General features: G+C 41.2%; 32 annotated features.

Moving 5' to 3' along the window:
• Positions 169 to 947: an enhancer, noted in NCBI's record as "OCT4-NANOG-H3K27ac-H3K4me1 hESC enhancer chr4:49092970-49093748 (GRCh37/hg19 assembly coordinates)". NCBI's record gives its function as "activates a minimal SCP1, AML or CMV promoter by ChIP-STARR-seq in primed H9 embryonic stem cells {active_cell/tissue: H9 hESC(primed)}" and the evidence as "EXISTENCE:reporter gene assay evidence [ECO:0000049][PMID:30033119]".
• Positions 948 to 1,726: an enhancer, noted in NCBI's record as "OCT4-NANOG-H3K27ac-H3K4me1 hESC enhancer chr4:49093749-49094527 (GRCh37/hg19 assembly coordinates)". NCBI's record gives its function as "activates a minimal SCP1, AML or CMV promoter by ChIP-STARR-seq in primed H9 embryonic stem cells {active_cell/tissue: H9 hESC(primed)}" and the evidence as "EXISTENCE:reporter gene assay evidence [ECO:0000049][PMID:30033119]".
• Positions 1,727 to 2,505: an enhancer, noted in NCBI's record as "OCT4-NANOG-H3K27ac-H3K4me1 hESC enhancer chr4:49094528-49095306 (GRCh37/hg19 assembly coordinates)". NCBI's record gives its function as "activates a minimal SCP1, AML or CMV promoter by ChIP-STARR-seq in primed H9 embryonic stem cells {active_cell/tissue: H9 hESC(primed)}" and the evidence as "EXISTENCE:reporter gene assay evidence [ECO:0000049][PMID:30033119]".
• Positions 2,506 to 3,283: an enhancer, noted in NCBI's record as "OCT4-NANOG-H3K27ac hESC enhancer chr4:49095307-49096084 (GRCh37/hg19 assembly coordinates)". NCBI's record gives its function as "activates a minimal SCP1, AML or CMV promoter by ChIP-STARR-seq in naive and primed H9 embryonic stem cells {active_cell/tissue: H9 hESC(naive and primed)}" and the evidence as "EXISTENCE:reporter gene assay evidence [ECO:0000049][PMID:30033119]".
• Positions 3,284 to 4,063: an enhancer, noted in NCBI's record as "OCT4-NANOG-H3K27ac hESC enhancer chr4:49096085-49096864 (GRCh37/hg19 assembly coordinates)". NCBI's record gives its function as "activates a minimal SCP1, AML or CMV promoter by ChIP-STARR-seq in naive H9 embryonic stem cells {active_cell/tissue: H9 hESC(naive)}" and the evidence as "EXISTENCE:reporter gene assay evidence [ECO:0000049][PMID:30033119]".
• Positions 4,064 to 4,841: an enhancer, noted in NCBI's record as "OCT4-NANOG-H3K27ac hESC enhancer chr4:49096865-49097642 (GRCh37/hg19 assembly coordinates)". NCBI's record gives its function as "activates a minimal SCP1, AML or CMV promoter by ChIP-STARR-seq in naive and primed H9 embryonic stem cells {active_cell/tissue: H9 hESC(naive and primed)}" and the evidence as "EXISTENCE:reporter gene assay evidence [ECO:0000049][PMID:30033119]".
• Positions 4,842 to 5,620: an enhancer, noted in NCBI's record as "OCT4-NANOG-H3K27ac hESC enhancer chr4:49097643-49098421 (GRCh37/hg19 assembly coordinates)". NCBI's record gives its function as "activates a minimal SCP1, AML or CMV promoter by ChIP-STARR-seq in naive and primed H9 embryonic stem cells {active_cell/tissue: H9 hESC(naive and primed)}" and the evidence as "EXISTENCE:reporter gene assay evidence [ECO:0000049][PMID:30033119]".
• Positions 5,621 to 6,398: an enhancer, noted in NCBI's record as "OCT4-NANOG-H3K27ac-H3K4me1 hESC enhancer chr4:49098422-49099199 (GRCh37/hg19 assembly coordinates)". NCBI's record gives its function as "activates a minimal SCP1, AML or CMV promoter by ChIP-STARR-seq in naive and primed H9 embryonic stem cells {active_cell/tissue: H9 hESC(naive and primed)}" and the evidence as "EXISTENCE:reporter gene assay evidence [ECO:0000049][PMID:30033119]".
• Positions 6,399 to 7,177: an enhancer, noted in NCBI's record as "OCT4-NANOG-H3K27ac-H3K4me1 hESC enhancer chr4:49099200-49099978 (GRCh37/hg19 assembly coordinates)". NCBI's record gives its function as "activates a minimal SCP1, AML or CMV promoter by ChIP-STARR-seq in naive H9 embryonic stem cells {active_cell/tissue: H9 hESC(naive)}" and the evidence as "EXISTENCE:reporter gene assay evidence [ECO:0000049][PMID:30033119]".
• Positions 7,178 to 7,956: an enhancer, noted in NCBI's record as "OCT4-NANOG-H3K27ac-H3K4me1 hESC enhancer chr4:49099979-49100757 (GRCh37/hg19 assembly coordinates)". NCBI's record gives its function as "activates a minimal SCP1, AML or CMV promoter by ChIP-STARR-seq in naive and primed H9 embryonic stem cells {active_cell/tissue: H9 hESC(naive and primed)}" and the evidence as "EXISTENCE:reporter gene assay evidence [ECO:0000049][PMID:30033119]".
• Positions 7,957 to 8,735: an enhancer, noted in NCBI's record as "OCT4-NANOG-H3K27ac-H3K4me1 hESC enhancer chr4:49100758-49101536 (GRCh37/hg19 assembly coordinates)". NCBI's record gives its function as "activates a minimal SCP1, AML or CMV promoter by ChIP-STARR-seq in naive and primed H9 embryonic stem cells {active_cell/tissue: H9 hESC(naive and primed)}" and the evidence as "EXISTENCE:reporter gene assay evidence [ECO:0000049][PMID:30033119]".
• Positions 8,736 to 9,513: an enhancer, noted in NCBI's record as "OCT4-NANOG-H3K27ac-H3K4me1 hESC enhancer chr4:49101537-49102314 (GRCh37/hg19 assembly coordinates)". NCBI's record gives its function as "activates a minimal SCP1, AML or CMV promoter by ChIP-STARR-seq in naive and primed H9 embryonic stem cells {active_cell/tissue: H9 hESC(naive and primed)}" and the evidence as "EXISTENCE:reporter gene assay evidence [ECO:0000049][PMID:30033119]".
• Positions 9,514 to 10,293: an enhancer, noted in NCBI's record as "OCT4-NANOG-H3K27ac-H3K4me1 hESC enhancer chr4:49102315-49103094 (GRCh37/hg19 assembly coordinates)". NCBI's record gives its function as "activates a minimal SCP1, AML or CMV promoter by ChIP-STARR-seq in naive and primed H9 embryonic stem cells {active_cell/tissue: H9 hESC(naive and primed)}" and the evidence as "EXISTENCE:reporter gene assay evidence [ECO:0000049][PMID:30033119]".
• Positions 10,294 to 11,071: an enhancer, noted in NCBI's record as "OCT4-NANOG-H3K27ac-H3K4me1 hESC enhancer chr4:49103095-49103872 (GRCh37/hg19 assembly coordinates)". NCBI's record gives its function as "activates a minimal SCP1, AML or CMV promoter by ChIP-STARR-seq in naive and primed H9 embryonic stem cells {active_cell/tissue: H9 hESC(naive and primed)}" and the evidence as "EXISTENCE:reporter gene assay evidence [ECO:0000049][PMID:30033119]".
• Positions 11,072 to 11,849: an enhancer, noted in NCBI's record as "OCT4-NANOG-H3K27ac-H3K4me1 hESC enhancer chr4:49103873-49104650 (GRCh37/hg19 assembly coordinates)". NCBI's record gives its function as "activates a minimal SCP1, AML or CMV promoter by ChIP-STARR-seq in naive and primed H9 embryonic stem cells {active_cell/tissue: H9 hESC(naive and primed)}" and the evidence as "EXISTENCE:reporter gene assay evidence [ECO:0000049][PMID:30033119]".
• Positions 11,850 to 12,627: an enhancer, noted in NCBI's record as "OCT4-NANOG-H3K27ac-H3K4me1 hESC enhancer chr4:49104651-49105428 (GRCh37/hg19 assembly coordinates)". NCBI's record gives its function as "activates a minimal SCP1, AML or CMV promoter by ChIP-STARR-seq in naive and primed H9 embryonic stem cells {active_cell/tissue: H9 hESC(naive and primed)}" and the evidence as "EXISTENCE:reporter gene assay evidence [ECO:0000049][PMID:30033119]".
• Positions 12,628 to 13,407: an enhancer, noted in NCBI's record as "OCT4-NANOG-H3K27ac-H3K4me1 hESC enhancer chr4:49105429-49106208 (GRCh37/hg19 assembly coordinates)". NCBI's record gives its function as "activates a minimal SCP1, AML or CMV promoter by ChIP-STARR-seq in naive and primed H9 embryonic stem cells {active_cell/tissue: H9 hESC(naive and primed)}" and the evidence as "EXISTENCE:reporter gene assay evidence [ECO:0000049][PMID:30033119]".
• Positions 13,408 to 14,185: an enhancer, noted in NCBI's record as "OCT4-NANOG-H3K27ac hESC enhancer chr4:49106209-49106986 (GRCh37/hg19 assembly coordinates)". NCBI's record gives its function as "activates a minimal SCP1, AML or CMV promoter by ChIP-STARR-seq in naive and primed H9 embryonic stem cells {active_cell/tissue: H9 hESC(naive and primed)}" and the evidence as "EXISTENCE:reporter gene assay evidence [ECO:0000049][PMID:30033119]".
• Positions 14,186 to 14,965: an enhancer, noted in NCBI's record as "OCT4-NANOG-H3K27ac-H3K4me1 hESC enhancer chr4:49106987-49107766 (GRCh37/hg19 assembly coordinates)". NCBI's record gives its function as "activates a minimal SCP1, AML or CMV promoter by ChIP-STARR-seq in naive and primed H9 embryonic stem cells {active_cell/tissue: H9 hESC(naive and primed)}" and the evidence as "EXISTENCE:reporter gene assay evidence [ECO:0000049][PMID:30033119]".
• Positions 14,966 to 15,743: an enhancer, noted in NCBI's record as "OCT4-NANOG-H3K27ac-H3K4me1 hESC enhancer chr4:49107767-49108544 (GRCh37/hg19 assembly coordinates)". NCBI's record gives its function as "activates a minimal SCP1, AML or CMV promoter by ChIP-STARR-seq in naive and primed H9 embryonic stem cells {active_cell/tissue: H9 hESC(naive and primed)}" and the evidence as "EXISTENCE:reporter gene assay evidence [ECO:0000049][PMID:30033119]".
• Positions 15,744 to 16,523: an enhancer, noted in NCBI's record as "OCT4-NANOG-H3K27ac-H3K4me1 hESC enhancer chr4:49108545-49109324 (GRCh37/hg19 assembly coordinates)". NCBI's record gives its function as "activates a minimal SCP1, AML or CMV promoter by ChIP-STARR-seq in naive and primed H9 embryonic stem cells {active_cell/tissue: H9 hESC(naive and primed)}" and the evidence as "EXISTENCE:reporter gene assay evidence [ECO:0000049][PMID:30033119]".
• Positions 16,524 to 17,301: an enhancer, noted in NCBI's record as "OCT4-NANOG-H3K27ac-H3K4me1 hESC enhancer chr4:49109325-49110102 (GRCh37/hg19 assembly coordinates)". NCBI's record gives its function as "activates a minimal SCP1, AML or CMV promoter by ChIP-STARR-seq in naive and primed H9 embryonic stem cells {active_cell/tissue: H9 hESC(naive and primed)}" and the evidence as "EXISTENCE:reporter gene assay evidence [ECO:0000049][PMID:30033119]".
• Positions 17,302 to 18,079: an enhancer, noted in NCBI's record as "OCT4-NANOG-H3K27ac-H3K4me1 hESC enhancer chr4:49110103-49110880 (GRCh37/hg19 assembly coordinates)". NCBI's record gives its function as "activates a minimal SCP1, AML or CMV promoter by ChIP-STARR-seq in naive and primed H9 embryonic stem cells {active_cell/tissue: H9 hESC(naive and primed)}" and the evidence as "EXISTENCE:reporter gene assay evidence [ECO:0000049][PMID:30033119]".
• Positions 18,080 to 18,857: an enhancer, noted in NCBI's record as "OCT4-NANOG-H3K27ac-H3K4me1 hESC enhancer chr4:49110881-49111658 (GRCh37/hg19 assembly coordinates)". NCBI's record gives its function as "activates a minimal SCP1, AML or CMV promoter by ChIP-STARR-seq in naive and primed H9 embryonic stem cells {active_cell/tissue: H9 hESC(naive and primed)}" and the evidence as "EXISTENCE:reporter gene assay evidence [ECO:0000049][PMID:30033119]".
• Positions 18,858 to 19,637: an enhancer, noted in NCBI's record as "OCT4-NANOG-H3K27ac-H3K4me1 hESC enhancer chr4:49111659-49112438 (GRCh37/hg19 assembly coordinates)". NCBI's record gives its function as "activates a minimal SCP1, AML or CMV promoter by ChIP-STARR-seq in naive and primed H9 embryonic stem cells {active_cell/tissue: H9 hESC(naive and primed)}" and the evidence as "EXISTENCE:reporter gene assay evidence [ECO:0000049][PMID:30033119]".
• Positions 19,638 to 20,415: an enhancer, noted in NCBI's record as "OCT4-NANOG-H3K27ac-H3K4me1 hESC enhancer chr4:49112439-49113216 (GRCh37/hg19 assembly coordinates)". NCBI's record gives its function as "activates a minimal SCP1, AML or CMV promoter by ChIP-STARR-seq in naive and primed H9 embryonic stem cells {active_cell/tissue: H9 hESC(naive and primed)}" and the evidence as "EXISTENCE:reporter gene assay evidence [ECO:0000049][PMID:30033119]".
• Positions 20,416 to 21,193: an enhancer, noted in NCBI's record as "OCT4-NANOG-H3K27ac-H3K4me1 hESC enhancer chr4:49113217-49113994 (GRCh37/hg19 assembly coordinates)". NCBI's record gives its function as "activates a minimal SCP1, AML or CMV promoter by ChIP-STARR-seq in naive and primed H9 embryonic stem cells {active_cell/tissue: H9 hESC(naive and primed)}" and the evidence as "EXISTENCE:reporter gene assay evidence [ECO:0000049][PMID:30033119]".
• Positions 21,194 to 21,971: an enhancer, noted in NCBI's record as "OCT4-NANOG-H3K27ac hESC enhancer chr4:49113995-49114772 (GRCh37/hg19 assembly coordinates)". NCBI's record gives its function as "activates a minimal SCP1, AML or CMV promoter by ChIP-STARR-seq in naive and primed H9 embryonic stem cells {active_cell/tissue: H9 hESC(naive and primed)}" and the evidence as "EXISTENCE:reporter gene assay evidence [ECO:0000049][PMID:30033119]".
• Positions 21,972 to 22,751: an enhancer, noted in NCBI's record as "OCT4-NANOG-H3K27ac hESC enhancer chr4:49114773-49115552 (GRCh37/hg19 assembly coordinates)". NCBI's record gives its function as "activates a minimal SCP1, AML or CMV promoter by ChIP-STARR-seq in primed H9 embryonic stem cells {active_cell/tissue: H9 hESC(primed)}" and the evidence as "EXISTENCE:reporter gene assay evidence [ECO:0000049][PMID:30033119]".
• Positions 22,752 to 23,529: an enhancer, noted in NCBI's record as "OCT4-NANOG hESC enhancer chr4:49115553-49116330 (GRCh37/hg19 assembly coordinates)". NCBI's record gives its function as "activates a minimal SCP1, AML or CMV promoter by ChIP-STARR-seq in primed H9 embryonic stem cells {active_cell/tissue: H9 hESC(primed)}" and the evidence as "EXISTENCE:reporter gene assay evidence [ECO:0000049][PMID:30033119]".
• Positions 23,530 to 24,307: an enhancer, noted in NCBI's record as "OCT4-NANOG hESC enhancer chr4:49116331-49117108 (GRCh37/hg19 assembly coordinates)". NCBI's record gives its function as "activates a minimal SCP1, AML or CMV promoter by ChIP-STARR-seq in naive and primed H9 embryonic stem cells {active_cell/tissue: H9 hESC(naive and primed)}" and the evidence as "EXISTENCE:reporter gene assay evidence [ECO:0000049][PMID:30033119]".
• Positions 24,308 to 25,085: an enhancer, noted in NCBI's record as "OCT4-NANOG hESC enhancer chr4:49117109-49117886 (GRCh37/hg19 assembly coordinates)". NCBI's record gives its function as "activates a minimal SCP1, AML or CMV promoter by ChIP-STARR-seq in naive H9 embryonic stem cells {active_cell/tissue: H9 hESC(naive)}" and the evidence as "EXISTENCE:reporter gene assay evidence [ECO:0000049][PMID:30033119]".

Raw genomic sequence — 25,298 nt, forward strand, 5'->3', positions numbered from 1 at the left:
CATAGAGTTAAAACTTTATTTAAATTTGGCAGGTTGGAAACACTCTTTTTGTAGAATCTGTGCAGGGACATTTGGGAGCCCATTGATACCTGTAGTGAGAAACTGATATTCCTTGATAAAAACTAGAAGGAATCTATCTGTGAAAACACCTTGCTGTGTGTGTATTAAGCTCACAGAGTTAATCCTTTCTTTTTTATTCAGCAGTTGGGAAACACTCTTTTTGTAGAATATGCACAGAAACATTTGGGAGTCCATTGAGGCCTGCAGTGAAAAACCAATATCCCACACTAAAAACTAGAAAGAATCTGTTAAAATGCTTTGCCATGTGTGGATTCATCTCACAGAGATAATCCTTTCCTTTGATTTAACAGGTTGGAAACACTTTTTTAGTAGAAGCTGTGCAAGAACATTTAGGAGCCCATTGAGGCCTATAATGAAAAACCAATATCCATTATATTCCGTTTCATTCCATTGCATTCCATTCCATTCCATTCTACACGGGTTGATTCCATTCCATTCCATTCCATTCCATTCCAGTCGTGTTGATACCATTCCATTCCATTCCATTCCATGCCATTCCATTCAATTCAATTCCATTCCACTCCATTCCATTACATTCCATTCCACTCGAGTTGATTCTATTCCATTCCATTCCATTCCATTCCATTCCATTCCATTCCATTCCATTCCATTCCATCCATGCCATTGCATTCGGGTTCATTCCATGGCATTCAATTCCATTCCGTTCCGTTCCATTCTATTCCATTCCATTCCATTGCATTGCCTTCCATTCCGCTCCATTCCATTCCATTCCACTCCATTCCATTCCATTCCATTCCACTCGGGTTGATTCCATACCTTTCCATTCCATTCCATTCCCTTCATTCCTTTCCATTCCATTGCATTCCAGTCGGGTTGATTCCATTCCATTGCTTTCCATTCGATTCCATTGCATGCCTTTCTATTCCATTCCACTCGGTTTGATTCCGTTGCATTCTATTCCATTCCATTGCACTTGGGTTCATTCCATTCCATTCCATTCCATTCCATTCCATTCCATTCCACTCCATTCCATTACATTCCATTCCACGCGAATTGATTCTATTCCATTCCATTCCATTCCATTCCATTCCATTCGGGTTCATTCCATGCCATTCAATTCCATTCTGTTCCATTCCATTCCATTCCATTCCATTCCATTCCATTCCATTCCATTCCATTCCATTGCCTTCCATTCCACTCCATTGCCTTCCATTCCACTCCATTCCATTCCATTCCATTCCATTCCATTCCATTCCATTCCATTCCATTCCATTCCATTCCATTCCATTCCATTCCACTCGGGTTGATTCCATACCTTTCCATTCCATTCCATTCCCTTCATTCCTTTCCATTCCATTCCGTTCCAGTCGGGTTGATTCCATTCCATTGCTTTCCATTCGATTCCATTGCATGCCTTTCTATTCCATTCCACTCGGGTTGATTCCGTTGCATTGTATTCCATTCCATTGCACTTGGGTTGATTCCATTCCATTCCGTTCTGTTGCATTCCATTCCATTGCATTCCATACCATTCCATTCCACTCGGGATGATTCCATTCCATTCCATTCCATTCCATTCCATTCCATTCCATTCCATTCCATTCCACTCCATTCCATTACATTCCCTTCCACTCAAGTTGATTCTATTCCATTCCACTCCATTCCATTTCACTCCATTCCATTCCATTCCATTCCATTCCATTCCATTCCATTCCATTCCGTTCCTTTCCAATCCGTGATATTCAACTAGCGTTGAATCCATTGCATTCCATTCCAATCCATTCCTCTCCATTCAATTCCTCTCTGATTTATTCTATTCCGTTCCATTCCATTCCGTTCTGTTACATTCTGTTCCATTGCCTTCCATACCATTCCATTCCACTCGGGATGTTTCCATTCTATTCCATTATATTACGTTTCATTCCATTGCATTCCATTCCATTCCATTCCACTCGGGTTGATTCCATTCCATTCCATTCCATTCCATTCCATTCCATTCCATTCCATTCCATTCCATTCCATTGCATTCCATTCCATTCCGTTCCTTTCCATTCGTGTTGATTCCACTCCATTCCATTCCATTCCATTCCATTCCTTTCCAATCCATGACATTCAACTAGGTTGAATCCATTGCATTCCATTCCAATCCATTCCTCTCCATTCAATTACTCTCTGATTCAATCTATTCCGTTCCATTCCATTCCGTTCTGTTCCATTCCGTTCCATTGCATTCCATACCATTCCATTCCACTCGGGATGTTTCCATTCCATTCCACTCCATTCCATTCCATTCCATTCCATTCCATTCCATTCCATTCCATCCCATTCTGGTTGATTCCATTCCATTCCATTCCATTTTATTCCAATCCATTCCGTTCCATTCCATTCCATTCGATAATATTCCACTCGGGTTGATTCCATACCATTCCATTCCATTCCATTCCATTGAATTCCATTCCATTCCATTCCACTCGGGTTGATTCCATGCCATTCCATTCCATTCCATTCCATTCCATTCCATTCCATTCCATTCAGGTTGATTCCATTCCATTCCATTCCATTCAATTCCATTCCATTCCACTCCATTCCATTACATTCCATTCCACTCGAGTTGATTCTATTCCTTTCCATTCCATTCCATTCCATTCCTTTCCATTCGGGTTCATTCCATGCCATTCAATTCCATTCCGTTCAGGTCCATTCTATTCCATTCCATTCCATTCCATTCCATTCCATTCCATTGTCTTCCATTCCACTCCATTCCATTCCATTCCATTCCATTCCATTCCATTCCATTCCATTCCATTCCATTCATTTCCATTACACTCGGGGTTGATTCCATAGCATTCCATTCCATTCCATTCCATTCGATTCCATTCCATTCCATTCTGGTTGATTCCATTCTATTCCATTCCATTCCATTGCATTCCATTCTATTCCATTCCAGTCCATTCCATTCCACTCGGTTTGATTCCATACCATTCCATTCCATTCCCTTCCATTCCATTCGTTCCATTCCATTCCATTCCATTCATTCCTTTCCATTCCATTCCATTCCATTCGGGTTGATTCCATTCCATTCCTTTCCATTCCATTTCATTCCATTCCTTTCCATTCCATTCCACTCGGGTTGATTCTGTTGCATTCCATTCCATTCCATTGCACTTGGGTTGATTCCATTCCATTCCATTCCATTCCATGCATTTCCCTTACACTCGGGTTGATTTCATAGCATTCCATTGCATTCCATTCCATTCCATTCCATTCCATCCCATTCGGGTTGAATCCCTTGCATTCCATTCCAATCCATTCCACTCCAGTCAATTCCTCTCGGATTCAATCTATTCCATTCCATTCCTTTCCGTTCTGTTCCATTCCATTCCATTGCATTCCATACCATTCCATTCCACTCGGGATGTTTCCATTCCATTCCATTCCATTCCGTTCCATTGCATTCCATTCCCTTCCATTCCATTCCATTCCATTCCATTCTATTCCACTCAGGTTGATTCCGCTCCATTCCATTGCATTACATTCCACTCGGGTTGATTCCTTTCCATTCCATTCAATTCCACTCGGGTTAATTCCATTCCGTTCCTTTCCATTTCACTCCATTCCATTCCATTCCATTCCATTCCATTCCATTCCATTCCATTCCGTTCCATGCATTTCCCTTACACTCCGGTTGATTCCATAGCATTCCATTGCATTCCATTACATTCCATTCCATTCAATCCCATTCGGGTTGATTCCATTCCATTCCATTCCATTCCATTCCATTCCATTCCATTCCATTCCATTCCTTTCCATTCCATTCCGTTCTGTTCCATTCCGTTCCATTGCATTCCATACCATTCCATTCCACTCGGGATGTTTCCATTCCATTCCACTCCATTCCATTCCATTCCATTCCATTCCATTCCATTCCATTCCATCCCATTCTGGTTGATTCCATTCCATTCCATTCCATTTTATTCCAATCCATTCCGTTCCATTCCATTCCATTCGATAATATTCCACTCGGGTTGATTCCATACCATTCCATTCCATTCCATTCCATTGAATTCCATTCCATTCCATTCCACTCGGGTTGATTCCATGCCATTCCATTCCATTCCATTCCATTCCATTCCATTCCATTCCATTCCATTCAGGTTGATTCCATTCCATTCCATTCCATTCAATTCCATTCCATTCCACTCCATTCCATTACATTCCATTCCACTCGAGTTGATTCTATTCCTTTCCATTCCATTCCATTCCATTCCTTTCCATTCGGGTTCATTCCATGCCATTCAATTCCATTCCGTTCAGGTCCATTCCATTCCATTCCATTCCATTCCATTCCATTCCATTCCATTGTCTTCCATTCCACTCCATTCCATTCCATTCCATTCCATTCCATTCCATTCCATTCCATTCATTTCCATTACACTCGGGGTTGATTCCATAGCATTCCATTCCATTCCATTCCATTCGATTCCATTCCATTCCATTCTGGTTGATTCCATTCTATTCCATTCCATTCCATTGCATTCCATTCTATTCCATTCCAGTCCATTCCATTCCACTCGGTTTGATTCCATACCATTCCATTCCATTCCCTTCCATTCCATTCGTTCCATTCCATTCCATTCCATTCATTCCTTTCCATTCCATTCCATTCCATTCGGGTTGATTCCATTCCATTCCTTTCCATTCCATTTCATTCCATTCCTTTCCATTCCATTCCACTCGGGTTGATTCTGTTGCATTCCATTCCATTCCATTGCACTTGGGTTGATTCCATTCCATTCCATTCCATTCCATGCATTTCCCTTACACTCGGGTTGATTTCATAGCATTCCATTGCATTCCATTCCATTCCATTCCATTCCATCCCATTCGGGTTGAATCCCTTGCATTCCATTCCAATCCATTCCACTCCAGTCAATTCCTCTCGGATTCAATCTATTCCATTCCATTCCTTTCCGTTCTGTTCCATTCCATTCCATTGCATTCCATACCATTCCATTCCACTCGGGATGTTTCCATTCCATTCCATTCCATTCCGTTCCATTGCATTCCATTCCCTTCCATTCCATTCCATTCCATTCCATTCTATTCCACTCAGGTTGATTCCGCTCCATTCCATTGCATTACATTCCACTCGGGTTGATTCCTTTCCATTCCATTCAATTCCACTCGGGTTAATTCCATTCCGTTCCTTTCCATTTCACTCCATTCCATTCCATTCCATTCCATTCCATTCCATTCCGTTCCATGCATTTCCCTTACACTCCGGTTGATTCCATAGCATTCCATTGCATTCCATTACATTCCATTCCATTCAATCCCATTCGGGTTGATTCCATTCCATTCCATTCCATTCCATTCCATTCCATTCCATTCCTTTCCATTCCATTCCGTTCCATTCCATTCGGGTTGATTCCATTCCATTAAATTCCACTGCATTCCATTCCATTCCATTCCACTCCATTCCATTCCTTTCCACTCCATACATTCCGTTCCATTCCACCGGGATTGATTCCATACCATTCCATTCCATTCTATGCTATTCCATTCCAGTTGATTCCGTTGGATTCCATTCCGTTCCATTCCATTCCATTCCATTCCATTCCATTCCATTCCATTCCACTCCATACCATTCCATTCCATTGCATTCGACTCAGGTTGATTCCGCTCCATTCCATTGCATTACATTACATTTCATTCCACTCTGGTTGATTCCTTTCCATTCCATTCCGTCCCACTCGGGTTTATTCCATTCCGTTCCTTTCCATTTCATTTCATTTCATTCCATTCCATTCCATTCCGTTCCATTCCATTCCGTTCCATTCTATTCGTTTTTATTTCATTCCATTCCATTCCACAGCATTCCATTCCATTCCATTCAATTCCATTCCATTCCACTCAATTCCATTACATTCCATTCTACTCGAGTTGATTCTATTCCATTCCATTCCATTCCATTCCATTCCATTCCATTCCATTCCATTCCATTCCATTCGGGTTCATTCCATTCCATTCCATTCCATTCCATTCCATTCCATTCCATTCGATTCCATTTCATTCCATTCCGTTCAATTCCATTCGTGTTGATTCCATTCCATTCCATTCCATTCCACTCCTTTCCATTCCATTCCATTCCACTCCTTTCCAATCCATGACATTCAACTGGGTTGAATTCCTTGCATTCCATTCCAGTCCATTCCACACCAGTCAATTCCTCTTGGATTCAGTCTATTCCATTCCATTCCTTTCCGTTCTGTTCCATTCCATTTCATTGCATTCCATACCATTCCATTCCACTCGGGATGATTCCATTCCATTCCATTCCATTCCGTTCCATTCCATTCCATTCCATTCCTTTCCATTCCGTTCCATTCCATTCGGGTTGATTCCATTCCATTCCATTCAATTGCATTCCATTCCATTCCATTCCATTCCATTCCATTCCATTCCATTCCATTCCATTCCATTCCATTCCATTCCACTCAGGTTGATTCCGCTCCATTCCATTGCATTACATTCCATTTCATTCCTCTCGGGTTGATTCCTTTCCATTCCATTCAATTCCACTCGGGTTAATTCCAATCCGTTCCTTTCCATTTCACTCCATTCCATTCCATTCCATTCCACTCCTTTCCATTCCATTCCATTCCACTCTTTCCAATCCATGACATTCAACTGGGTTGAATCCCTTGCATTCCATTCCAATCCATTCCTCTCCAGTCAATTCCTCTCGGATTCAATCTATTCCATTCCATTCCTTTCTGTTCCGTTCCATTCCATTCCATTGCATTCCATATCATTCCATTCCACTCGGGATGATTCCATTCCATTCCATTCCGTTCCGTTCCATTCCATTCCATTCCATTCCATTCCATTCCATTCCATTCCGTTCCGGTCCATTCCATTCCATTCCATTCCATTCCATTCCATTCCATTCCACGCAGGTTGATTCCGCTCCATTCCATTACATTACATTCCATTTCATTCCACTCGGGTTGATTCCTTTCCATTCCTTTCAATTCCACTCGGGTGAATTCCATTCTGTTCCTTTCCATTTCACTCCATTCCATTCCATTCCATTCCATTCCATTCCATTCCGTTCCATTCTATTCGTGTTTATTTCATTCCATTCCATTCCATTCCACAGCATTCCATTCCATTCCGTTCCATTCTATTCGTGTTGTTTCCTTTCCATACCATTCCATTGCATTCCATTCCTTTCCATTCCATTCCGTTCCATTCTATTCCTGTTTATTTCATTCCAATTCTTTCCATTCCACAGCATTCCTTTCCATTCCGTTCTGTTCCATTCCATTCGTGTTGTTTCTATTCCATTCCATTCCATTCCATTCCATTCCATTCCATTCCATTCCGTTCCATTCCATTCGTGTTGATTCCATTCCATTCCATTCCACTCCTTTCCATTCCACTCCATTCCACTCCTTTCCAATCCATGACATTCAACTGGGTTGAATCCCTTGCATTCCATTCCAATCCATTCCACTACAGTCAATTCCTCTCGGATTCAATCTATTCCATTCCATTCCTTTCCGTTCTGTTCCATTCCATTCCATTCCATTCCATTCCATTCCATTCCATTCCATTCCTTTCCATTCCATTCCGTTCCATTCCATTCGGGTTGATTCCATTCCATTTTATTCCATTGCATTCTTTTCCATTCCATTCCATTCGGGTTCATTCCATTCCATTCCATTCCATCCCATTCCATTCCATTCCATTCCATTCCGTTCCGTTCCGTTCCTTTCCATTCCATTCCATTCCATTGCATTCCATTCCATTCCATTCCATTCTATTCCATTCCAGTCCATTCCATTCCACTCGGGTTGATTCCATACCATTCCATTCCATTCCATTCCATTCCATTCCATTCCATTCATTCCTTTCCATTCCATTCCATTCCATTCGGGTTGATTCCATTCCATTCCTTTCCATTCCATTTCATTCCATTCCTTTCCATTCCATTCCACTCGGGTTGATTCCGTTGCATTCCATTCCATTCCATTGCACATGGGTTGATTCCATTCCATTCCATTCCATTCCATGCATTTCCCTTACACTTGGGTTGATTCCATAGCATTCCATTGCATTCCATTACATTCCATTTCATTCCATCCCATTCGGGTTGATTCCATTCCATTCCATTCCATTCCATTACATTCCACTTCATTCCATCCCATTCGGGTTGATTCCATTCCATTCCATTCCATTCCATTCCATTCCATTCCATTCCATTCCATTCCATTCCATTCGTTTCCATTCCATTCGGGTTGATTCCATTCCATTAAATTCCACTGCATTCCATTCCATTCCATTCCACTCCATTCCATTCCATTCCACTCCATACATTCCATTCCATTCCACCCGGATTGATTCCATTGCATTCCATTCCATTCTATGCTATTCCATTCCAGTTGATTCCATTGGATTCCATTCAGTTACATTCCATTCCATTCCACTGCATTCCATTCCAGTCCATTCCATTCCATTCCATCCCATTTGGGTTGATTCCATTCCATTCCATTCCATTCTATTCCATTCCAGTCCATTCCATTCCACTCGGGTTGATTCCATACCATTCCATTCCATTCCATTCCTTTCCATTCCATTCCATTCCATTCCATTCCATTCCATTCCATTCCATTGCATTCCATTCCATTCGTTCCTTTCCATTCCATTCCATTCCATTCGGGTTGATTCCATTCCATTCCTTTCCATTCCATTTCATTCCATTCCTTTCCATTCCATTCTACTCGGGTTGATTCCGTTGCATTCCATTCCATTCCATTCCATTCCATTCTATTCCATTCCAGTCCATTCCATTCCACTCGGGTTGATTCCATTCCATTCCATTCCATTCCATTCCATTCCATTCCATTCCATTCATTCCTTTCCATTCCATTCCATTCCATTCGGTTGATTCCATTCCATTCCTTTCCATTCCATTTCATTCCATTCCTTTCCATTCCATTCCACTCGGGTTGATTCCGTTGCATTCCATTCCTTTCCATTGCACTTGGGTTGATTCCATTCCATTCCGTTTCATTCCATTCCATTCCATTCCATTCCATGCATTTCCCTTACACTCGGGTTGATTCCATAGCATTCCATTGTATTCCATTCCATTCCATTCCATTCCATCCCATTCGGGTTGATTCCATTCCATTCCATTCCATTGCATTCGATTCCATTCCATTCTGCTCCATTCCATTCGGGTTGATTACATTCCATTAAATTCCACTGCATTCCATTCCATTACATTCCACTCCATTCCATTACATTCCACTCCATACATTCCATTCCTTTCCACCCGGATTGATTCCATTCCATTCCATTCCATTCTATGCTATTCCATTCCAGCTGATTCCATTGGATTCCATTCCGTTCCATTCCATTCCACTCCTTTCCATTCCATTCCATTGCATTCGACTCGGGTTGATTCTGCTCCATTCCATTGCATTACATTCCATTTCATTCCATTCGGGTTGATTCCTTTCCATTCCATTCCGTTCCAGTCGGGTTAATTCCATTCCGTTCCTTTCCATTCCATTCCATTCCATTCCATTCCATTTCATTCTATTCCGTTCCATTACATTCGTGTTGATTCCATTCCATTCCATTCCACTCCTTTCCATTCCATTCCATTCCACTGCTTTCCAATCCATGACATTCAACTGGGTTGAATCCCTTGCATTCCACTCCATTCCATTCCACTCCAGTGAATTCCTCTCGGATTCAATCTATTCCATTCCATTCCTTTCCGTTCTGTTCCATTCCATTCCATTGCACTCCATACCATTCCATTCCACTCGGGATAATTCCATTCCATTCCATTCCATTCCATTCCATTCCATTCCATTCCATTCCTTTCCATTCCATTCCGTTCCATTCCATTCGGGTTGATTTTATTCTATTAAATTCCACTGCATTCCATTCCATTCCATTCCACTCCTTTCCATTCCATTCCACTCCATACATTCCGTTCCATTCCACCGGGATTGATTCCATACCATTCCATTCCATTCTATGCTATTCCATTCCAGTTGATTCCGTTGGATTCCATTACGTTCCATTCCATTCCATTCCATTCCTTTCCATTCCATTCCATTCCATTCCACTCCATACTATTCCATTCCATTGCATTCGACTCAGGTTAATTCCGCTCCATTCCATTGCATTACATTACATTTCATTCCACTCGGGTTGATTCCTTTCCATTCCATTCCGTCCCACTCAGGTTTATTCCATTCCGTTCCTTTCCATTTCATTCCATTCCATTCCATTCCATTCCATTCCATTCCATTCCATTCCGTTCCATTCCATTCCGTTCCATTCTATTCGTTTTTATTTCATTCTATTTCCATTCCACAGCATTCCATTCCATTCCATTCAATTCCATTCCATTCCACTCAATTTCATTACATTCCATTCCACTCGAGTTGATTCTATTCCATTCCATTCCATTCCTTTCCATTTCATTCCATGCCAGTTGATTGCATTCCTTTCCATTCCATTCCTTTCCATTCCATTCCATTCCATTCTACTCGGGTTGATTCCATTCCATTCCATTTCATTCCATTCGATTTCATTCCACTGGTGTTTATTCCATTCCACTCCATTCCATTCCATTCCATTCGGGTTTATTCCATTTCATTCCATTCCATTCCATTCCATTGCATTCCATTCCTTTCCATTCTATTCCATTCCATTCCATTCCATTTGTGTCGATTCCATTCCATTCCATTCCATTCCATTCCACTGCATTCCAATCCATTACATTGCACTCAGGTTGAATCCTTTCCATTCCATTCCAATGCATTCCCTTTCATTCAATTCCACTCGGATTCAATCAATTCCATTCTATTCCATTCCGTTCTGTTCCACTCCATTCCATTGCATTCCATACCATTCCATTCCACTCGGGTTGATTCCATTGAATTCCATCCCATTCCATTCCATTCCATTCTATTGCATTCCATTCCATTCCATTCCATTCCACTCGTGTTGATTCCCTTCCATTCCATTCCATTCCATTCCACTTGTGTTGATTCCATTCCGTTCCTTTCGATTGCATTCCATTCCATTGCATTCCATTCCATTCCATTCCATTCCGTTCCATTCCATTCGTGTTGATGCCATTCCAATCCATACCATTCCATTCCATTCCATTCCGTTCCATTCCTTTCGTGTTGATTCCATTCCATTCCATTCCACTCCATTCCAATCCATTACATTCCACTCGGGTTGTATCCATTCCTTTCCATTCCAATCCATTCCATTCCTTTCCAATCCATTCCATTCCATTCAATTCCACATGGATTCATTCTATTCTTTCCATTCCATTCCGTTCTGTTCCATTCCAGTCCATTCCATTAGATACCATTCCATTCCACTCGGGGTGATTCCATTCAATTCCATTAAATTCCGTTCAATTCCATTGCATTCCATTCCATTCCATTCCACTCGGGTGGATTCCATTCCATTCCACTCCATTCCATTCCATTCCATTCCATTCCATTCCATTCCACTCGGGTTGATTCCAGTCCGTTCCTTTCCATTTCATTCCATTCCATTCCATTCCATTCCATTCCATTCCATTCCATTCCATTCCAATCCATTCCATTCCACTCCACTCCGGTTGATTCCATTCCATTCTATTCCATTCCATTCCATTCCATTCCATTCCATTCCATTCCATTCCATTCCATTCCATTCCACTCGGGTTGATTCCATTCCATTCCATTCCATTTTATTCCATTCCATTCCGTTCCATTCCATTCCATTCCATTCCATACCATTCCACTCGGGTTGATTCCATAGCATTCCATTCCATTCCACTCGGGTTGATTCCATTCCATTCCATTCCATTCCACTCCATTCCATTCCATTCCTTTCCACTCCTTTCGATTCCATTCCATTCCATTCCACTTGGGTTGATTCCTTCCATTCCATTCCACTCCACTCGGGTTGATTCCATTCCATTCCATTCCATTCCATTCCATTCCATTCCATTCCATTGCATTCCATTCCATTCCACTCGTGTTGATTCCCTTCCATTCCATTCCATTCCATTCCACTCCATTCCACTTGGGTTGATTCCATTCCGTTCCTTTCCATTTCATTCCATACCATTCCATTCCATTCCATACCATTCCATTCCATTCCATTCCGTTCCATTCCATTTGTGTTGATTCCATTCCAGTCCATTCCACTCCATTCCAATCCGTTACATTCCACTCGGGTTGAATCCATTCCTTTCCATTCCAATCCATTCCAGTCCTTTCCAATCCATTCCATTCCATTCAATTCGACTTGGATTCAATCATCTATTTTTTCCTTTCCATTCCGTTCTGTTCCATTCCAGTCCATTGCATTAGATACCATTCCATTCCACTCGGGATGATTCCATTCAATTCCATTATATTCCGTTCAATTCCATTGCATTCCATTCCATTCCATTCCACTCGGGTTGATTCCATTCCGTTCCTTTCCATTTCATTCCATTCCATTCCATTCCATTCCATTCCATTCCATTCCATTCTGTTCCATTCCATTCCGTTCCATTCTATTCGTTTTTATTTCATTCTATTTCCATTCCACAGCATTCCATTCCATTCCATTCAATTCCATTCCATTCCACTCAATTCCATTACATTCCATTCCACTCGAGTTGATTCTATTCCATTCCATTCCATTCCATTCCATTCCATTCCATTCCATTCCATTCCATTCGGGTTCATTCCATTCCATTCCATTCCATTCCATTCCATTCCATTTCATTCCATTCCGTTCCATTCCATTCGTGTTGATTCCATTCCATTCCATTCCACTCCTTTCCAATCCATGACATTCAACTGGGTTGAATTCCTTGCATTCCATTCCAGTCCATTCCACTCCAGTCAATTCCTCTCGGATTCAATCTATTCCATTCCATTCCTTTCCGTTCTGTTCCATTCCATTCCCTTGCATTCCATACCATTCCATTCCACTTCGGATGATTCCATTCCGTTCCATTCCATTCCATTCCATTCCTTTCCATTCCGTTCCATTCCATTCCGTTCCATTCCATTCGGGTTGATTCCATTCCATTCCATTCCATTCCATTCCATTCCATTCCATTCCCTTACACTCAGGTTGATTCCGCTCCATTCCATTGCATTACATTCCATTTCATTCCACTCGGGTTGATTCCTTTCTATTCCATTCAATTCCACTCGGGTGAATTGCAATCTGTTCCTTTCCATTTTACTCCATTCCATTCCATTCCATTCCACTCCTTTCCATTCCATTCCATTCCACTCCTTTCCAATCCATGACATTCAACTGGGTTGAATCCTTTGCATTCCATTCCAATCCATTCCACTCCAGTCAATTCCTCTCAGATTCAATCTATTCCATTCCATTCCTTTCCGTTCTGTTCCATTCCATTCCATTGCATTCCATACCATTCCATTCCACTCGGGATGATTCCATTCCATTCCGTTCCATTGCATTCCATTCCATTCCATTCCATTCCATTCCATTCCATTCCGTTCCACTCAGGTTGATTCTGCTCCATTCCATTGCATTACATTCCATTTCATTCCACTCGGGTTGATTCCTTTCCATTCCATTCAATTCCACTCGAGTTAATTCCATTCTGTTCCTTTCCATTTCACTCCATTCCATTCCATTCCATTCCATTCCATTCCATTCCATTCCGTTCCGTTCCATTCTATTCGTGTTTATTTCATTCCATTCCATTCCATTCCACAGCATTCCATTCCATTCCGTTCCATTCTATTCATGTTGTTTCCTTTCCATTCCATTCCATTGCATTGCATTCCTTTCCTTTCCATTCCATTCCATTCCATTCTATTCGTGTTTATTTCATTCCAATTCTTTCCATTCCACAGCATTCCATTCCATTCCGTTCCGTTCCATTCCATTCGTGTTGTTTCTATTCCACTCCATTCCATTCCATTCCATTCCATTCCGTTCCATTCCATTCGTGTTGATTCCATTCCATTCCATTCCACTGCTTTCCATTCCACTCCGTTCCACTCCTTTCCAATCCATGACATTCAACTGGATTGAATCCCTTGCATTCCATTCCAATCCATTCCACTACAGTCAATTCCTCTCGGATTCAATCTATTCCATTCCATTCCTTTCGGTTCTGTTCCATTCCATTCCATTCCATTCAATTCCATTCCATTCCATTCCTTTCCATTCCATTCCGTTCCATTCCATTCGGGTTGATTCCATTTCATTTTATTCCATTGCATTCCTTTCCATTCCATTCCATTCGGGTTCATTCCATTCCATTCCATTCTATTCCATTCCATTGCATTCCATTCCGTTCCTTTCCATTCCATTCCATTCCATTGCATTCCATTCCATTCTATTCCATTCCAGTACATTCCATTCCACTCGGGTTGATTCCATACCATTCCATTCTATTCCATTCATTCCTTTCCATTCCATTACATTCCATTCGGGTTGATTCCATTCCATTCCTTTCCATTCCATTTCATTCCATTCCTTTCCCTTCCATTCCACTCGGGTTGATTCCGTTGCATTCCATTCCATTCCATTGCACTTGGGTTGATTCCATTCCATTCCATTCCATTCCATTCCATTCCATGCATTTCCCTTACACTCGGGTTGATTCCATAGCATTCCATTGCATTCCATTACATTCCATTTCATTCCATCCCATTCGGGTTGATCATTCCATTCCATTCCATTCCATTCCATTCCATTCCATTCCATTCCTTTCCATTCCATTCGGGTTGATTCCATTCCATTAAATTCAACTGCATTCCATTCCATTCCATTCCACTGCATTCCATTCCATTCCACTCCATACATTCCATTCCATTCCACCCGGATTGATTCCATTCCATTCCATTCCATTCTATGCTATTCCATTCCAGTTGATTCCATTGGATTCCATTCAGTTACATTCCATTCCATTCCATTCCATTCCATTCCGTTCCATTCCATTCCACTCCTTTCCATTTCATTCCATTGCATTCGACTCAGGTTGATTCCGCTCCATTGCATTGCATTACATTCCATTTCATTCCACTCGGATTGATTCCTTTCCATTTCATTCCGTTCCACTCGGGTTAATTGCATTCCGTTCCTTTCCATTTCATTCCATTCCATTCCATTCCATTCCATTCCATTCCATTCCATTCCATTCCGTTCCATTCTATTCGTGTTTATTTCATTCCATTCCATTCGATTCCACAGCATTCCATTCCATTCCATTCCGTTCCATTCCATTTGTCTTGTTTCCATTCCATTCCATTCCATTCCATTCCATTCCATTCCATTCCATTCCATTCCATTCCATTCCGTTCCATTCCATTCGTGTTGATACCATTCCATTCCATTCCACTCCTTTCCAATCCATGACATTCAACTGGGTTGAATCCCTTGCATTCCATTCCAATCCATTCCACTCCAGTCAATTCCTCTCGGATTCAATCTATTCCATTCCATTCCTTTCCGTTCTGTTCCATTCCATTCCATTGCATTCCATACCATTCCATTCCACTCGGGATAATTCCATTCCATTCCATTCCATTCCATTCCATTCCATTCCATTCCATTCCATTCCATTCCTTTCCATTCCATTCCGTTCCATTCCATTCGGGTTGATTCTATTCTATTAAATTCCACTGCATTCCATTCCATTCCATTCCACTCCTTTCCATTCCATTCCACTCCATACATTCCGTTCCATTCCACCGGGATTGATTCCATACCATTCCATTCCATTCTATGCTATTCAATTCCAGTTGATTCCGTTGGATTCCATTACGTTCCATTCCATTCCATTCCATTCCTTTCCATTCCATTCCATTCCATTCCACTCCATACTATTCCATTCCATTGCATTCGACTCAGGTTGATTCCACTCCATTCCATTGCATTACATTACATTTCATTCCACTCGGGTTGATTCCTTTCCATTCCATTCCGTCCCACTCAGGTTTATTCCATTCCGTTCCTTTCCATTTCATTCCATTCCATTCCATTCCATTCCATTCCATTCCATTACATTCCATTCCGTTCCATTCCATTCCGTTCCATTCTATTCGTTTTTATTTCATTCTATTTCCATTCCACAGCATTCCATTCCATTCCATTCAATTCCATTCCATTCCACTCAATTTCATTACATTCCATTCCACTCGAGTTGATTCTATTCCATTCCATTCCATTCCATTCCATTCCATTCCATATCATTCCATGCCAGTTGATTGCATTCCTTTCCATTCCATTCCTTTCCATTCCATTCCATTCCATTCTACTCGGGTTGATTCCATTCCATTCCATTTCATTCCATTCGATTTCATTCCACTGGTGTTTATTCCATTCCACTCCATTCCATTCCATTCCATTCGGGTTTATTCCATTTCATTCCATTCCATTCCATTCCTTTCCATTCTATTCCATTCCATTCCATTCCATTTGTGTCGATTCCATTCCATTCCATTCCATTCCATTCCATTCCATTCCATTCCACTGCATTCCAATCCATTACATTGCACTCGGGTTGAATCCTTTCCATTCCATTCCAATGCATTCCCTTCCATTCAATTCCACTCGGATTCAATCAATTCCATTCTATTCCATTCCGTTCTGTTCCACTCCATTCCATTGCATTCTATACCATTCCATTCCACTCGGGTTGATTCCATTGAATTCCATCCTATTCCATTCCATTCCATTCTATTGCATTCCATTCCATTCCATTCCACTCGTGTTGATTCCCTTCCATTCCATTCCATTCCATTCCATTCCATTCCATTCCATTCCACTTGGGTTGATTCCATTCCGTTCCTTTCGATTGCATTCCATTCCATTGCATTCCATTCCATTCCATTCCATTCCATTCCGTTCCATTCCATTCGTGTTGATGCCATTCCAATCCATACCATTCCATTCCATTCCATTCCATTCCATTCCGTTCCATTCCTTTCGTGTTGATTCCATTCCATTCCATTCCATTCCATTCCACTCCATTCCAATCCATTACATTCCACTCGGGTTGAATCCATTCCTTTCCATTCCAATCCATTCCATTCCTTTCAATCCATTCCATTCCATTCAATTCCATATGGATTCAATCTATTCTTTACATTCCATTCCGTTCTGTTCCATTCCAGTCCATTGCATTAGATACCATTCCATTCCACTCGGGGTGATTCCATTCAATTCCATTATATTCCGTTCAATTCCATTGCATTCCATTCCATTCCATTCCACTCGGGTGGATTCCACTCCATTCCATTCCATTCCATTCCATTCCATTCCATTTCATTCCATTCCCCTCGGGTTGATTCCAGTCCGTTCCTTTCCATTTCATTCCATTCCATTCCACTCCATTCCATTCCATTCCATTCCATTCCATTCCATTCCATTCCATTCCAATCCATTCCATTCCACTCCACTCCGGTTGATTCCATTCCATTCCATTCCATTCCATTCCGTTCCGTTCCGTTCCGTTCCATTCCATTCCATTCCATACCATTCCACTCGGGTTGATTCCATACCATTCCATTCCATTCCACTCGGGTTGATTCCATTCCATTCCATTCCATTCCATTCCATTCCATTCCATTCCATTCGTGTTGATTCCATTGCATTCCATTCCATTCCACTCCATTCCATTCCATTTCATTCCATTCCAGTTGATTCCATTCCTTTCCATTCCATTCCTTTCCATTCCATTCCATTCCATTCTACTCGGTTTGATTCCATTCCATTCCATTTCATTCCATTCGATTTCATTCCACTGGTGTTTATTCCATTCCACTCCATTCCATTCCATTCCATTCCATTCGGGTTTATTCCATTTCATTCCATTCCATTCCATTCCATTGCATTCCATTCCTTTCCATTCTATTCCATTCCATTCCATTCCATTTGTGTTGATTCCATTCCATTCCATTCCACTGCATTCCAACCCATTACATTGCACTCGGGTTGAATCCTTTCCATTCCATTCCAATGCATTCCCTTTCATTCAATTCCACTCGGATTCAATCAATTCCATTCTATTCCATTCCGTTCTGTTCCACTCCATTCCATTGCATTCCATACCATTCCATTCCACTCGGGTTGATTCCATTGAATTCCATCCCATTCCATTCCATTCCATTCTATTGCATTCCATTCCATTCCATTCCATTCCACTCGTGTTGATTCCCTTCCATTCCATTCCATTCCATTCCACTTGTGTTGATTCCATTCCGTTCCTTTCGATTGCATTCCATTCCATTGCATTCCATTCCATTCCATTCCATTCCGTTCCATTCCATTCGTGTTGATGCCATTCCAATCCATACCATTCCATTCCATTCCATTCCGTTCCATTCCTTTCGTGTTGATTCCATTCCATTCCATTCCACTCCATTCCAATCCATTACATTCCACTCGGGTTGTATCCATTCCTTTCCATTCCAATCCATTCCATTCCTTTCCAATCCATTCCATTCCATTCAATTCCACATGGATTCATTCTATTCTTTCCATTCCATTCCGTTCTGTTCCATTCCAGTCCATTCCATTAGATACCATTCCATTCCACTCGGGGTGATTCCATTCAATTCCATTAAATTCCGTTCAATTCCATTGCATTCCATTCCATTCCATTCCACTCGGGTGGATTCCATTCCATTCCATTCCATTCCATTCCATTCCATTCCATTCCATTCCATTCCATTCCACTCGGGTTGATTCCAGTCCGTTCCTTTCCATTTCATTCTATTCCATTCCATTCCATTCCATTCCAATCCATTCCATTCCACTCCACTCCGGTTGATTCCATTCCATTCTATTCCATTCCATTCCATTCCATTCCATTCCATTCCATTCCATTCCATTCCACTCGGGTTGATTCCATTCCATTCCATTCCATTCCATTCCACTCCATTCCATTCCATTCCTTTCAACTCCTTTCCATTCCATTCCATTCCATTCCACTTGGGTTGATTCCTTCCATTCCATTCCACTCCACTCGGGTTGATTCCATTCCATTCCATTCCATTCCATTCCATTCCATTGCGTTCCATTCCATTCCATTGCATTCCATTCCATTCCATTCCACTCGTGTTGATTCCCTTCCATTCCATTCCATTCCATTCCACTTGGGTTGATTCCATTCCGTTCCTTTCCATTTCATTCCATACCATTCCATTCCATTCCATTCCATTCCATTCCATTCCGTTCCATTCCATTTGTGTTGATTCCATTCCAGTCCATTCCACTCCATTCCAATCCATTACATTCCACTCGGGTTGAATCCATTCCTTTCCATTCCAATCCATTCCAGTCCTTTCCAATCCATTCCATTCCATTCAATTCGACTTGGATTCAATCATCTATTTTTTCCATTCCATTCCGTTCTGTTCCATTCCAGTCCATTGCATTAGATACCATTCCATTCCACTCGGGATGATTTCATTCAATTCCATTATATTCCATTCAATTCCATTGCATTCCATTCCATTCCATTCCACTCGGGTTGATTCCATTCCGTTCCTTTCCATTTCATTCCATTCCATTCCATTCCGTTCCATTCCATTCCATTCCATTCCATTCCATTCCACTCCATTAAATTCCACTCCACTCCGGTTGATTCCATTCCATTTCATTCCATTCCATTTCACTCGAGTTGATTCCATTCCATTCCATTCCATTTTATTCCATTCCATTCCATGAAATTCCATTCCATTCCACTCCACTCAGGTTGATTCCTTTCCATTCCATTTCATTCCATTCCTTTCCATTCCATTCCATTCCACTCCACTCCACTCCATTCCATTCCATTCCACTCGGGTTGATTCCATTCCATTCCATTCCAATCCATTCCATTCCATTCCATTCCATTCCATTCCATTCCATTCCATTCCATTCGGGTTCATTCCATTCCATTCCATTCCATTCCATTCCATTCCATTCCACTCGTGTTGTTTCCATTCCATTCCTTTCAATTTCATTCTATTCCATTCCATTCCATTCCATTCCATTCTATTCCATTCCACTCGGGTTGATTCCATACCATTCTATTCCATTCCATTCCATTCAATTCCGTTCCATTCCATTCCATTCCATTCCATTAAATTCCACTTGGGTAGATTCCATTCCATTCCATTCCATTCCATTCCATTCCATTCCATTCCATTCCTTTAGTTTCTAATCGGGTTGATTCCAATCCATTCCATTATATTCAAGTCCTTTCCATTCCCTGCCATTCCACTCGGGTTGTTTCCATTTTGTTGTATTCCATTCCATTCCATTCCATTGCATTGCATTCCACTCTGGTTGTTTCCATTCCATTCCATTAGTTTCCATTCCATTCCATTCCTTTCCTTTCCATTCCATTCCATTCCATTCCTTTCCACTCAGGGTGATTCAATTCCGTTCCATTCCAATGCATTCCATTCCAGTTGATAACATAGCATTGTATTCTTTCCATTCCATTCCTTTCCATTCCATTACATTACATTCCACTCGGTTTGATTCATCTCCATTCCATTCCATTCCATTCCATTCCATTCCATTCCATTCCATACCATTCCACCAAAGTTGATTGCATGCTATTCCATTCCATTCCATTCCATTCCATTCCATTCCATTCCATTCCATTCCATTCCACTTGGGTTGATTCCATTCCATTCAATTCCGTTCCGTTCCGTTCCGTTCCGTTCCATTCCATTCCATTCTGTTCCATTCCATTTCATTCCATTGCATTCCACTCAGGTTGATTCCATTCCATTCCATTCCATACCCTTCGGGTTGATTCCTTCCCATTCCATTCCATTCCATACCATTCCACTCCATTCCGTTCCATTCCATTCGGGTTGATTCTGTTCCATTCCATTCCCTTTTATTCCATTCCATTCCATTCCTTTCCATTCCATTCCATACCATTCCACCAAAGTTGATTGCATGTTATTCCGTTCCATTCCTTTCCATTCCATTCCATACCATTCCACCAAAGTTGATTGTATGTTATTCCATTCCATTCCATTCCATTCCATTCCATTCCATTCCATTCCACTCGGATTGATTCCATTCCATTCAATTCCGTTCCGTTCCGTTCCATTCCATTCCATTCCATTTCATTCCATTGCATTAAACTCGGGTTGATTCCATTCCATTCCTTTTCATTCCATTCCGTTCCATTCCATTACATTCCATACCCTTCAGTTTGATTCCTTTCCATTCCATTCCATTCCATTCTATTCCATTCCATTCCATTCCATACCATTCCACCAAAGTTGATTGCATGTTATTCCATTCAATTCCATTCCATTCCTTTCCACTCGGGTTGATTCCATTCCATTCAATTCCGTTCCGTTCTGTTCCATTCCATTCCATTGCATTAGATACCATTCCATTCCACTCGGGATGATTCCATTCAATTCCATTATATTCCGTTCAATTCCATTGCATTCCATTCCATTCCATTTCACTCGGGTGGATTGCATTCCATTCCATTCCATTCCATTCCATTCCACTCGGGTTGATTCCATTCCGTTCCTTTCCATTTCATTCCATTCCATTCCATTCCATTCCATTCCATTCCATTCCATTCCATTCCACTCCATTAAATTCCACTCCACTCCGGTTGATTCCATTCCATTTCATTCCATTCAATTTCACTCGAGTTGATTCCATTCCATTCCATTCCATTTTATTCCATTCCATTCCATGAAATTCCATTCCATTCCACTCCACTCGGGCTGATTCCTTTCCATTCCATTTCATTCCATTCCTTTCCATTCCATTCCATTCCACTCCACTCCATTCCATTCCATTCCACTCGGGTTGATTCCATTCCATTCCATTCCAATCCATTCCATTCCATTCTATTCCATTCCATTCCATTCAATTCCGTTCCATTCCATTCCATTCCATTCCATTCCATTCCATTCCATTCCATTCCATTAAATTCCATTCCATTCCATTCCACTTTGGTAGATTCCATTCCATTCCATTCCATTCCATTCCTTTAGTTTCTAATCGGGTTGATTCCAATCCATTCCATTATATTCAAGTCCTTTCCATTCCATGCCATTCCACTCGGGTTGTTTCCATTTTGTTGTATTCCATTCCATTCCATTCCATTGCATTCAATTCCATTGCATTCCATTCCACTCTGGTTGTTTCCATTCCATTCCATTAGTTTCCATTCCATTCCATTCCTTTCCTTTCCATTCCATTCCATTCCATTCCTTTCCACTCAGGGTCATTCAATTCCGTTCCATTCCAATGCATTCCATTCCAGTTTATACCATTGCATTGTATTGTTTCCATTCCATTCCTTTCCATTCCATTACATTACATTCCACTCGGTTTGATTCATTTTCATTCCATTCCATTCCATTCCATACCATTCCACCAAAGTTGATTGCATGCTATTCCATTCCATTCCATTCCATTCCATTCCATTCCATTCCATTCCATTCCATTCCATTCCATTCCATTCCACTTGGGTTGATTCCATTCCATTCAATTCCGTTCCGTTCCGTTCTGTTCCATTCCATTCCATTCTGTTCCATTCCATTTCATTCCATTGCATTCCACTCAGGTTGATTCCATTCCATTCCTTTCCATTCCATTGCATTCCATTCCATTCCATTCCATTCCATTCCATTCCATACCCTTCGGGTTGATTCCTTCCCATTCCATTCCATTCCATACCATTCCACTCCATTCCATTCCATTCCATTCGGGTTGATTCTGTTCCATTCCATTCCCTTTTATTCCATTCCATTCCATTCCATTCCATTCCATTCCATACCATTCCACCAAAGTTGATTGCATGTTATTCCATTCCATTCCTTTCCATTCCATTCCATACCATTCCACCAAAGTTGATTGCATGTTATTCCATTCCATTCCATTCCATTCCATTCCATTGCATTCCATTCCATTCCATTCCATTCCACTCGGATTGATTCCATTCCATTCAATTCCGTTCCGTTCCGTTCCGTTGCATTCCATTCCATTCCATTTCATTCCATTGCATTCCACTCGGGTTGATTCCATTCCATTCCTTTTCATTCCATTCCGTTCCATTCCATTACATTCCATACCCTTCGGTTTGATTCCTTTCCATTCCATTCCATTCCATACCATTCCACTCCATTCCACTCCATTCCATTCGGGTTGATTCCGTTCCATTCCATGCCCTTTTATTCCATTCCATTCCATTCCATTCCATTACATTCCATTACATTCCATACCATTCCACCAAAGTTGATTGCATGTTATTCCATTCAATTCCATTCTATTCCTTTCCACTCGGGTTGGTTCCATTCCATTCAATTCCGTTCCGTTCCGTTCCATTCCATTCCATTTCATTCCATTGCATTCCACTCGGGTTGATTCCATTCAATTCCATTCCATTCCATACCCTTCAGGTTGATTCCTTTCCATTCCATTCCATTCCATCCCATTCCACTCCGTTTCGCTCCATTCCATTCGGGTTGATTCCGTTCCATTCCATGCCCTTTTATTCCATTCCATTGCATTCCATTCCATTCCATTCCATTCCATTCCATTCCATTCCATTCCATTCCATTCCACTCGGGTTGTTTCCATTCCATTCCTTTCCATTTCATTCTATTCCATTCCATTCCATTCCATTCTATTCCATTCCATTCCACTGCATTCCATTCCATTCCTCTCCGGTTATTCCATTCCATTCCATTCCATCCCACTCGAGTTGTTTCCATTCCATTCCATTCCATTTTATTCCATTCCATTCCGTTCCATTACATTCCATTCTATACCATTCCACTTGGGTTGATTTCATACCATTCTATTCCATACCATTCCAATAAATTCCATTCCATTCCATTCCACTCGGGTAGATTCCATTCCATTGCATTCCATTCCATTCCGTTCCGTTCCATTCCATTCCATTCCACTCCATTCCATTCCATTCCATTCCATTAAATTCCATTCCATTCCATTCCACTCGGGTAGATTCCATTCCATTCCATTCCATTAGTTTCTAATCGGGTTGATTCCAATCCATTCCATTCTATTCAAGTCCTTTCTATTCCATGCCATTCCACTCGGGTTGTTTCCATTTTGTTTTATTCCATTCCATTCCATTCCAATCCATTGCATTCCATTCCACTCGGGTTTTTTCCATTCCATTCCATTAGTTTCCATTCCATTCCATTGCTTTCCATTCCATTCCATTCCATTCCTTTCCACTCAGGGTGATTCCATTCCATGCCCTTTTATTCCATTCCATTGCATTCCTCTCGAGTTGTTTCCATTCCATTCCATTCCATTTTATTCCATTCCATTCCGTTCCATTACATTCCATTCTATACCATTCCACTCGGGTTGATTTCATACCATTCTATTCCATTCCATTCCATTAAATTCCATTCCATTCCATTCCACTCGGGTAGATTCCATTCCATTGCATTCCATTCTATTCCGTTCCGTTCCATTCCATTCCATTCCATTCCATTCCATTCCATTCCATCCCATTCCATTCCATTAAAATCCATTCCATTCCATTCCACTCGGGTAGATTCCATTCCATTCCATTCCATTAGTTTCTAATCGGGTTGATTCCAATCCATTCCATTCTATTCAAGTCCTTTCGATTCCATGCCATTCCACTCGGGTTGTTTCCATTTTGTTGTATTCCATTCCATTCCATTCCATTCCAATCCATTGCATTCCATTCCACTCGGGTTGTTTCCATTCCGTTCCATTAGTTTCCATTCCATTCCATTCCTTTCCATTCCATTCTATTCCATTCCTTTCCACTCAGGGCGATTCCATTCCATTCCATTCCAATGCATTCCATTCCAGTTGATACCATTGCATTGCATTGTTTCCATGCCATTCTATTGCTTTCCATTCCATTCCACTCGTGTTGTTTCCGTTCCATTCCTTTCCATTTCATTCTATTCCATTCCATTCCATTCCATTCAATTCCATTCGATTCCACTCCATTCCATTCCATTCCTCTCCGGTTATTCCATTCCATTGCATTCCTTCCCACTCGGGTTTTTTCCATTCCATTCGATTCCATTTTATTCCAATCCATTCCGTTCCATTACATTCCATTCTTTACCATTCCACTCAGGTTGATTCCATACCATCCTATTCCTTTCCACTCCATTAAATTCCATTCCATTCCATTCCACTCGGGTAGATTCCATTCCATTTCGTTCCATTGC

This window comes from Homo sapiens, chromosome 4, assembly GCF_000001405.40.
Source record: "Homo sapiens chromosome 4, GRCh38.p14 Primary Assembly".
Taxonomy (NCBI): domain Eukaryota; kingdom Metazoa; phylum Chordata; class Mammalia; order Primates; family Hominidae; genus Homo; species Homo sapiens.